General features: G+C 35.7%; 1 protein-coding gene across 35 annotated transcripts in view; it reads right to left on the bottom strand.

Moving 5' to 3' along the window:
• Positions 5,385-11,964, bottom strand: part of STAG2 (STAG2 cohesin complex component) — a 142,097-nt gene continuing 135,517 nt past the window's right edge. For all 35 annotated transcript variants that reach the window (NM_001042749.2, XM_047441783.1, NM_001441077.1 and 32 more), the window contains one exon: positions 5,385-7,467. In NM_001042749.2, coding sequence (NP_001036214.1) covers positions 7,444-7,467 — 24 coding nt within the window. In that variant the 3' untranslated portion in view covers positions 5,385-7,443. The remainder of the gene's footprint in view (positions 7,468-11,964) is intronic.

The following is an 11,964-nucleotide window of genomic DNA, read 5'->3' as shown; positions in this document are numbered from 1 at the left end:
GACTTAGACTCCCACACAATTATAATGAGAGACTTTAACACCCCACTGTCAACATTGGACAGATCAACGAGACAGAAAGTTAACAAGGATATCCAGGAATTGAACTCAGCTCTGCACCAAGCGGACCTAATAGACATCTACAGAACTCTCCACCCCAAATCAACAGAATATACATTCTTTTCGGCACCACACCACATCTATTCCAAAATTGACCACATAGTTGAAAGTAAAGCACTCCTCAGCAAATGTAAAACAGAAATCACAACAAACTGTCTCTGAGACCACAGTGCAATCAAACTAGATCTCAGGATTAAGAAACTCACTCAAAACTGCTCAACTACATGGAAACTGAACACCTGCTCCTGAATGACTACTGGGTACATAACAAAATGAAGGCAGAAATAAAGATGTTCTTTGAAACCAACGAGAACAAAGACACAACATACCAGAATCTCTGGGACACTTTCAAAGCAGTGTGTAGAGGGAAATTTATAGCACTAAATGCCCACAAGAGAAAGCAGGAAAGATCTAAAATTGACACCCTAACATCACAATTAAAAGAACTAGAGAAGCAACAGCAAACACATTCAAAAGCTAGCAGAAGGCAAGAAATAACTAAGATCAGAGCAGAACTGAAGGAAATAGAGACACAAAAAAACCCTTCAAAAAATCAATGAATCCAGGAGCTGGTTTTTTGAAAAGATCAACAAAATTGATAGACCGCTAGCAAGACTAATAAAGAAGAAAAGAGAGAAGAATCAAATAGACACAATAAAAAATGATAAAGGGGATATCACCACCGATCCCACAGAAATAGAAACTATCATCAGAGAATACTACAAACACCTCTGTGCAAATAAACTAGAAAATCTAGAAGAAATGGATAAATTCCTTGACACATACACCCTCCCAAGACTAAACCAGGAAGAAGTTGAATCTCTGAATAGACCAATAACAGGCTCTGAAATTGAGGCAATAATTAATAGCTTACCAACCAAAAAAAGTCCAGGACCAGATGGATTCACAGCTGAATTCTACCAGAGGTACAAGGAGGAGCTGGTACCATTCCTTCTGAAACTATTCCAATCAATAGAAAAAGAGGGAATCCTCCCTAACTCATTTTATGAGGCCAGCATCATCCTGATACCAAAGCCTGGCAGAGACACAACCAAAAAAGAGAATTTTAGACCCATATCCCTGATGAACATCAATGCAAAGATCCTCAATAAAATACTGGCAAACGGAATCCAGCAGCACATCAAAAAGCTTATCCACCATGATCAAGTGGGCTTCACCCCTGGGATGCAAGTCTGGTTCAACATACGCAAATCAATAAATGTAATCCAGCATATAAACAGAACCAAAGACAAAAACCATATGATTATCTCAATAGATGCAGTAAAGGCCTTTGGCAAAATTCAACAACTCTTCATGCTAAAAACTCTCAATAAAGTAGGTATTGATGGGACGTATCTCAAAATAATAAGAGCCATATATGACAAACCCACAGCCAATATCATACTGAATGGGCAAAAACTGGAAGCATTCCCTTTGAAAACTGGCACAAGACAGGGATGCCCTCTCTCACCACTCCTATTCCACATAGCGTTGGAAGTTCTGGCCAGGGCAATTAGGCAGGAGAAGGAAATAAAGGGTATTCAATTAGGAAAAGAGGAAGTCAAATTGTCCCTGTTTGCAGATGACATGATTGTATATCTAGATAACCCCATAGTCTCAGCCCAAAATCTCCTTAAGCTGATAAGCAACTTCAGCAAAGTCTCAGGATACAAAATCAATGTACAAAAATGACAAGCATTCTTATACACCAATAACAGACAAACAGAGAGGCAAATCATGAGTGAATTCCCATTCACAATTGCTTCAAAGAGAATAAAATACCTAGGAATCCAACTTACAAGGGATGTGAAGGACCTCTTCAAGGAGAACTACAAACCACTGCTCAATGAAATAAAAGAGGATACAAACAAATGGAAGAACATTCCATGCTCATGGGTAGGAAGAATCAATATCGTGAAAATGGCCACACTGCCCAAGGTAATTTATAGATTCAATGCCATCCCCATCAAGCTACCAATGACTTTCTTCACACAATTGGAAAAAACTACTTTAAAGTTCATATGGGACCAAAAAAGAGCCAGCATTGTCAAGTCAATCCTAAGCCAAAAGAACAAAGCTGGAGGCATCACGCTACCTGACTTCAAACTATACAAGGATACAGTAACCAAAACAGCATGGTACTGGTACCAAAACAGAAATATAGACCAATGGAACAGAACAGAGCCCTCAGAAATAATACCACACATCTACAACTATCTGATCTTTGACAAACCTGACAAAAATAAGCAATGGGGAAAAGATTCCCTATTTAATAAATGGTGTTGGGAAAACTGGCTAGCCATATGTAGAAAGCTGAAACTGGATCCCTTCCTTATACCTTATACAAAAATTAATTCGAGAGGGATTAAAGACTTAAATCTTAGACCTAAAACCATAAAAACCCTATTAGAAAACCTAGGCAATACTATTCAGGACATAGGCATGGGCAAGGACTTCATGTCTAAAACACCAAAAGCAATGGCAACAAAAGCCAAAATTGACAAATGGGATCTAATTAAACTCAAGAGCTTCTGCACAGCAAAAGAAACTACCATCAGAGTAAACAGGCAACCTACAAAATGGGAGAAAATTTTTGCAATCTACTCATCTGACAAAGGGCTAATATCCAGAATCTACAAAGAACTCAAATTTACAAGAAAAAAACAAACAACCCCATCAAAAAGTGGGCGAAGGATGTGAACAGACACTTCTCAAAAGAAGACATTTTTGCAGCCAAAAAACACATGAAAAAATGCTCATCACTGGCCACCAGAGAAATGCAAATCAAAACCACAATGAGATACCATCTCACACCAGTTAGAATGGCAATCATTAAAAAGTCAGGAAACAACAGGTGCTGGAGAGGATGTGGAGAAATAGGAACACTTTTACACCGTTGGTGGGACTGTAAACTAGTTCAACCATTGTGGAAGTCAGTGTGGCGATTCCTCAGGGATCTAGAACTAGAAATACCATTTGACCCAGCCGTCCCATTACTGGGTATATACCAAAAGATTATAAATCATGCTGCTATAAAGACACATGCACACGTATGTTTATTGCGGCACTATTCACAATCGCAAAGACTTGGAAACAACCCAAATGTCCAACAATGATAGACTGGACTAAGAAAATGTGGCACATATACACCATGGAATACTATGCAGCCATAAAAAATGATGAGTTCATGTCCTTTGTAGGGACATGAATAAAACTGGAAACCATCATTCTCAGCAAACTATCGCAAGGACAAAAAACCAAACACTGCATGTTCTCACTCATAGGTGGGAATTGGAACAATGAGAACACGTGGACACAGGAAAGGGAACATCACACACCGGGGCCTGTTGTGGGGTGGGATAGCATTAGGAGATACACCTAATGTTAAATGACGAGTTAATGGGTGCAGCATGCCAACATGGCACATGTATACATATGTAACAAACCTGCACATTGTGCACATGTACCCTAAAACTTAAAAGTATAATAAAAAATAAATAAATAAAAATGTTGCAGGGGAGAATTCTAGCATCAGCCTTATAGGAAGGCTCCCTGAGCACATCCACTGTTTGCGCCCCTCGTCTGTGCTCCCCTAACACACAGTAAAAACACTGAACTTACTTCATTTTATTCTTTTGGCACCTGCATCCTAACCCCCAGCAGAACTGTAAGCACAAAACCTGTCTTGTTGGTCTTTGCCTTCTCACCAGCTAGCACTAGGCCAGGCACACATCAATCAATAATTTGTTGACCTGAAGTGACATTTATTTAGTGGACTTCAACACCGAGTTTCCTCATAACCAAAGGCATGGTGCTTTATCGAATCATTTTCTTTTGCTGGATCATTACAGCCACCAGAATAGTCTGTCTGATCTGTATTCAACCACGTGACCCCTTAAAGTTCCCTTTGTGGCAGAATATTGAAGACATTTCAATTTTCCTACTCATCTTCCCCAGTCTCTCAGCTTTATTAACTAAACCACTGATAAGCTCAGGACTCAGATTCAACTTACATCTTCTTTATGAAAGCCGGTTAGGTAGCATATTAAGGACAATTATTTATTTACACCTACCAACTCTATAACCAGCTGAACTCTAAGTAGATAGATGCACTATGGCACAATGAACAATGTACCATTTTATGTGTATGCAATTATGAATATTTCCCTTATCTATCAAATAGTTTCAATGCTTTCTAGGACTTAATGCAGCCAGACTGCCTGGGCTGGAATACCAACTCCATTATTTACTAGCCATATAACCTTGTCTAAGGTATCAGTATCCAACCTTCCTGGCACCAGCGGCCAGTTTCATGGAATATAATTTTTTCCATAGACTTTGGGGGCAGGGTGGGAAGGGGGGCTCAGGATGAAACTGTTGCACCTCAGATCATCAAGCATTCTCATAAGGAATGCTCAACCTAGATCCTTTGCACGTGCAGTTCACTTTAGGGTTCGCGCTCCTATGAGAATCTAATGCCACGGCTGCTCTGACAGTAGGAAAGCTCAGGTGGTTAATGCTTGCTCACTAGGCTGCCACTCACCTCCTGCTGTGCGGCCCAGTCCCTAACAGGCCACGTTCTGGTACCCCTGGTCTAAGGTATTTAAACTTCTTTGTACCTCATTCTCACCTTCTTCTGATTTGTTAAAAAAAAAAAAAAAAATTGGTGGCAGAGGGTGGGGGAATGACAGCATTATCAACTCTTGTCATGAGGCTTAATGAGTTATTACATGTAAACTACTTAAAACAGCACGCAGCTGTTTTAGCTATCATTTTATATGTTCAGTTCTGAATCACTAATGACAGAAGACAATTCTGATATACAAACTAGCCCAAATGAACAATGTGCTAGTGTTACACTGACATGAATCTCTTAAAGAGTACAATGCAAATCTTAACACTTTCTTTGATGAGTTTTCAATAAGAATTCAATTAGTAAATTCTTTTTCAAATGGTTTTACCTCCATGCCATGAGCCCCTTATTTAAGGCAGGTTTCTCTCTTACTGTCTCTCTCTCATTCTCTACCTCAGCATATCCTGCTTGTTTCCTTCCTGGCATTTATTACAAGTTTCATTATTTTGTTTTCCCCAATGGATCTATGAAGGAGAGATCTCTTAACACATGCTAGCACACAGTAGGCACTCAAATGTACCCTGTATAAACAATGTAAACATTTGTAAATGTGTTTAACTCATACCAGATGAAAATTAAAGCAATAATGGTTACAGGTTCCTATTTTAAAGTAATAATCCAATTAGGGATTTGGTTTCATTGTAAATACATATGATTTATTAAAAATATAAACTGATGGTATTCTCTATAAATTATTCCCCAAACACATTAAAAGATGTGATAATAGATATAAATTTGCAAACCATTTATAGCCACCCTCCCCCTTTGAGTACAAGAGAAAACATACAACATACTGTAGGTTTATTTTTATTCAAAAAGTTACTGTCTCAAGACATAAATACAAATCAGAAAACAGTACAATTAGGACAATAGAATGTGGAGGACAACAGGTTAGAGTAATATATAAAACATTTTTAGCTGGTTGAAAACAAAGCTGTAAGAACTGCTTTCACAAAGAAGTACTCCTTTCAAGAGTGAGAAAAAAAATCAACTTAGGTTTAAAATCATATATACAGTCCTCTCAGCAGTTCTAGTTAATGCAGTGGTGTGTAAAACAACATAGGCAATACTTTTGCACATAACAATATTTGTTGATGGAAAATCTGTTAGACAAGTCTGGATTCATTTGTTATTAACCATGACTTAATAAAATAATTGTATCATGATCTTTTTAGCTAACCTATGGTTTTTGGCTACCACAGCCCAATGCTTGATTTCTGACTAAAAACTGAAAGCCTTTTGGTATTCACCCATCTGAAGATATTCTTGTATTGCAAGCATATTAAGGCATGGAATGATTAAAATAATATACCTCAAGAACTGAGAGACGACTGACAATAGATAGATACACATGTAATATAAGTTAATATTTTGTTTTAAACGATGTCTAGCTGCCTAAGCCTCGCAAAATGAGTTGATGTCAAAATGGCAAGTAGCCACTTTCTGTTTTAAACTAATTTATTTGTGAAAGGACATAAAATGAAGTTTAAAGCTTAGCTTTCAAAGAATATTATGGGTTATGAATTCTATTATCCCATCTAATTTACATACAGAGGAAATGTACTGTAACCTGTTAGAAGTATCTTTAACCTGAAGACTGCTTGCAAAGACAGATAGATAAAACAATATAAAATACAAATTTAAAAATCATTTTAAAGCATGAACACTCATGCTTTTCTATTTTTAAACATTGTTAAACTTTCAATATATTTCTGAAACCTCATAATTTTAAGTTGGAATTTAAAAGTAAGAAAAAACTAAACAAACTGCGCAATTATAAAATCAGCACCAATTTATATATATATATAATTTTATTTAAAATTTAGATCCCTATTCCCACACTCTAATAAGCTGTATAATTTTTGTTTAGAATTTTTCTGCAAACATACTACAATAAGCTTCTTTTATTTGGAGACAAAATACAGTGGCATTACTGGAAGGAATATCACAACATTACATTTTTATCTTAAAGGACAAGCAAACTTTCAGGGTTGATAATGGGATAAGCATGTTTGAGACTGGTTACCTTCTGGCAGTTCACTGCATCTGGATATTTCTGAAAAGTATAGAGAAGCTCTTGGATTTTAAAAATATCTTAAAATACTTTTAGATGAAAAAATTGTAAAAGTTCTGCTTATAAGTTTACTTTTCTCCACAATTACAATATTTAAAACAAAGTTTTGTTGATTGACGTTTTAAGCATTTAAATTTAGAATGCTAAAAACAATTCTATCCTACACTTTCTTCAGGGTAGGGGAATAAATACATCCTTAACATTGTTTTCTGGATGTAAACAGAAATCCAGCAGAGGTCATCATTATTTAGTACAACCAGTAAATAAATGTAAGAGAATTCATATCTGTACCAAATGCCTCTTCAGATTGTTATTTTGTTTTTTTTTTTTTTTAAAAAAAAGCATGAAATAATCGATTCAAAAGCCAACTAACAGCGCATAAATAAAATATTTACTTTCTAAGAAAAACTGTAGCTTATCATCAAATTGTTTACTTGTCCTTTACGTTTATTCAGGCAAACAAAACTGCCCCTCAATGCACTTGATCTTGGTAAGCATAAGCATGTCATATTCTCCTTAGAGAAAAATCTGTACAGAATTTCACTGTATCTACCACACTTTAAAATTTCCTCTTCCACTTAGAAAATGACTTCACCACAGATTTAATTGTGTACTGGTATTAAAACATTGACACTCCAAGAACCTAATGAGAGAGAGAGAGGGGAGAAAATCTCGTTAAAAGTCATTCATTTCTTTAAATATATCCATAAATATTACATTAATACTTTATTATGTTAAATAACATGCTAATAAAACCACTTTGAAAACTTCCCCTCTCTTCAGATGTATAATTCTAAAATTAAATTGACCATGATATATAATGAAATAACATCAGGACTAATCAAGATGCTACTTACCTCACATATAATTAAAGTAGGAACCTTGGATTAATTATGCTTATATGTACCACTAATGTCTAGATAATACCCTAAACATAGGCACTCAACATAGGTATTTGTTAAATGAATAAATGAATGTGCTTCTTCACATATATTTCTGGCACAGGTTCCTTGGAAAGGGGTTAAGAAAGTCTTGCAAACTTGGCTATTTGTGCTGGGAAGTGGATATGGTTTTTCAAAAAGGCATTTGAGTATGCAGACCAAAAAAAATCTAAGAACAATTCAAGTATGTAGAAAGCAAGAAGCTTTCTTTAGAAAATCTGGCCAAAGTGAATGGAACAGAACTACAAATTTTAAGAAATCAAAAGGGTAAGGTAAAATCTGGGCAAAATGACTTACATTGATGCTTTCTATATACTCCAACTGAGAAAGGAATGTTAGGTAAAATCTAATAATTACTTGTCTAAAAGTAAAAGCAGATGATGAATGGAGCAACTCTCCCTTGTTCACTAAACAAGAATGGCATGTGACTCTTAGTATATATACTAAAAGTTAGGTTGTTCAATTAAAATTCTAGCACTTATGCCCATTAAGTAATATTTTAGAATACTATAATAAGCTATTAAGAACTGATATCAAAGCCAGATGTAATGAGCTGAAATATTACAAAGAGCTCTTACTTGTAAGTTAAATCTCTTATAAGTTCTATGAACAAAAGTCATAGAACTCATGTATTGTTTTGAGCTGAAGAAACTGTGTATTTGCAGATCCAGAAACAAGTATCTGATTGCAGCCTCTTTATAATGAATTATCAAGTAGTGTTTGGAATCCCAAGTAATGAAAACAAAGAGGACTCGTGCACCCAATTTCTTACCTGTCCATTCACAGTAACTACCACACTACTAATCCCTTGTCCTCTCCCCTTCCCGCATGCTTCAGGGTTCTCCTTTTTTGGTTCAAGTCAGAGTTTGGGTGGTTAGAACGTTTCCACCAAAAAGACCGAGATAATGTTTAAAGGCCAATTCTTACCATAACACTCTATGAATCTCGGTAGAAAAGGTCTGATGATGAATGAAAGTACAAAATCTTAATTAGCAATTTAGTATTGAGTATGGGATGAAGACGAACTCAAGTTCTTTCCAAACAGAGTGCCTGACTAGAAAGCACCCAAACACTTGAGATTCTTTTTGTTTTGTACAGACTAGGTTATAAGTAGATTCTCTTACTAGAACATTAAATTAGCTCCATTACATGGAGCCCTTCTTTACCAATTTTATACTATAAATAATTCTAATAAGAGAATCTCAACACAAGAGAATGAGAGTAGTGACACTTTCTTTTCTGTGCCAACACAAACTCTGCCTGTTTCTGATGTTAACATTAATAAATACTTAAACATATTTAATATCAAACTTCAGTGTATTTTGGCAATTCTGGCAGAAAACAACTGTTATCAAAATGGTATAAACCAATTTTGTGTCCAAATATAAAACCAGCTACACCATAAATCTAGAATTTTATGTATATGCAACACAAAATATGTTCAGAGTTTTTATATTACCACTCCTGGATAATGTGAAAATCATGTTTAAAAAGATATTTTTACGATTTATTTAGAAAATCTTGTTTAAAAATTAAGTGTTTAAAAAGATATTTTTTATGATTTATTTAGAAAATCATGTTTAAAAATTAAGTGTTTAAAAAGATATTTTTACAATTTATTTAGTAACAAACTGAAGTGTCTACATTAGGGTGCTTTGAGTTACTTCCCTTAGAATTGGAGAATCTCAGAACTGGACATTAAAGAATTTAAATCCCAATTTTGCTACTGTTTAGATGACTCCGGTATTATGGGCTTCAGTAAGAACAGATGTGGGGTATTGTATAAAGGCAAACAGAATTTGACATTCAAAATTTTCCATTATTCCATTTCTTAAGTTATGGTTAAGACAGTATGGAGTATAGTTTAGTGTATATTTAAAAAATAAACTGTTAACTTTAAAAAAAAAATTACATGGTCAAAGACTTCTAAAGACACCTAAGCCTTTAAAGATTACTGAGCATTCAGTTATGTGACTGCTGCCATCATGTGGTAATGCTATAAAACTACAGTTATAAGTACATGTGCTAATTTTCCTAATTTTTGTAGCAGAAGCAGCTAAACTATTATCAAATTAAGAATAAATAAAAGCCCCTCAGTTGTAACATTCAATATACATGAGAATGCTATAAAATCACTATAAATAAAAAATGACTATTAGGCCCCTATTTTTCTCTAAATGTTAAATGTCAAAAATAGATACACATAGTTAATATTGCTGTTTCATTATTTTAGTAATCTGAAGAACACCTTTTTGCAAATCTAGTATGTAACTAAGAAAACGAATGTTAAAAGTTCTCCTGACATTAGACAAATACATTAAAAAATGGTGATCCTAACTGCCCATATTAATTTTGATCACAGTTAACCATTTCGATTTCTTAATTACTTTTGTTGGTGTTCTCATCCAAATGGGGATTTTAGTTTTGGGAAGCACAACAGTAGAAGACAGCATGAGATTATTAAATCAAAAGGAACTGGCATCAAATTACTACTCGGACACTTGCTAACTGTATAACTGAGCAAAGTCACTAAATGATCTCTTCAGTCTCAGCTTGCTATGGTATGAAAGTGGAAATTCCCATTACCTTTCTCACACGGTTGCTGAGAGGATCAAAATAAATCATACCTAGCACAGTGTCTGTCACCCAAACTCTCAGCTACTACCTTCCATACTTTTCATTTCAAAGTGATAGTCAAGGTGCACTAGAATATGAATTCCTTAAGGACAGGGAGTGTCTTATTCGCTTTAGCACCAACTTCTGATGTAATAAATTGTTGAATAAATGCATTTCATCGCACCTGCTTGAAAATATTCCTTTACCCCTCATCACAATCACTACCTCCATGTTTTATTTAACAAACTAAGATGATACATACTGTTAGATTAATTATCAAGAAAACCATAAACTTCAGTGTGCAGTTAAACTATAGACTTATGAGTGCAACAGGTCATTAGGTACTATAAAGTCTTGCTACTCAAAGTATGGTTTGCAGACCTGAAGCACTGACAGCATTTGTTAGCAGTGCAGAATCTCAGGCCACACTTAAGACCAATTGAAGCAGATTCTACTTTTTTTTTTTTTTTTTTTTTTTTTGAGACAGGGTCTCGGCTCTGTCACCCAGGCTGGAGTGCAGTATTGTGAACACAGCTCACTGCAGCCTCAACCTCCTGGGCTCAAGCAATCCTCCCACCTCGCCCTCCTGAGTAGCTGGGACCGCAGGTATGCATCTTCATGCCCAGCTAATTTTTTTAGTTTTTGTAAAGATGGGGTCTCACTGTGTTGCCCAAGCTGGTCTCAAGCTCTTGGGCTCAAACAATCCTCCCACCTTGGCCTTCCAAAGTATTGGGATTACAGGCATGAGCCACTGAGCCCGGCCCCTTGGCCTTATTAGTAAACATGTTAGTGTGAATTAGTTTGTCAAAATAGTTCTAAAAGCTATCTGAAAGCAGATTATGAGGTAGGAGAGGGCAAGGTGGGAATGGTAGAAATTGTACATAGAAGGCAGGCCTTTGAGGATGGTATAACCGTCACCTGAGGCAGTAGGTGTGAGGAACAAGGAACATAAAATGGGTAGATTCTAAAAAGGGAGATGGCAGGGCATTTAAATGATTTATTCATTTGACAAAACTAAATATCTATTGTGCTGGGCAGAACTAAGAATGAATAACATCATCACTGCCTCAGGGAGTTCAGTCTAGTGAAGGACCAGGGCATGTAATATCCTATCTCACTACACAAGTCTGGTAATTATTACAATAAAGTGTGTACAAACAGTTAAAGAAGGAGAGAAAAAAAAATCTGTGGAAGTCAGCAAAAATTCCACAGGTAATGTCAGAATTAGTATCAAAGAAAGACTTTACTAGGAGGAAAAATAAAGGGGAATTTCTGGCAGAAAAAAGCTTATACAAAGTTATGGAGTCAGGAAAGAGCATAGTGTATCTGAGTGGAACTACAAGATTTGATATGGCTAGAGCATAGAATACATGTAAGGAAAAGGCCAAGGTTAAGATGGCAAGGGAACCAGATCATAAAAGGCTTTGTTTGCTAGGCTGAGGAGCTAGAATTTTCTTCCTAATGGCAATGGGGGGGAAAAAAATCAATAAAAGACTTAGAACGATAAGTGAGAATATCAGATCTGCATTTTTAGAAAGATGACCCCACAAGAGGCATAAAGGAGCAGCGGGACTGCAATATCA

Source organism: Homo sapiens, chromosome X (genome assembly GCF_000001405.40).
Source record: "Homo sapiens chromosome X, GRCh38.p14 Primary Assembly".
NCBI classification, from domain to species: domain Eukaryota; kingdom Metazoa; phylum Chordata; class Mammalia; order Primates; family Hominidae; genus Homo; species Homo sapiens.
Note: the sequence above shows the minus strand (reverse complement) of the source record. Positions and strands in the feature narration are given on the sequence as shown.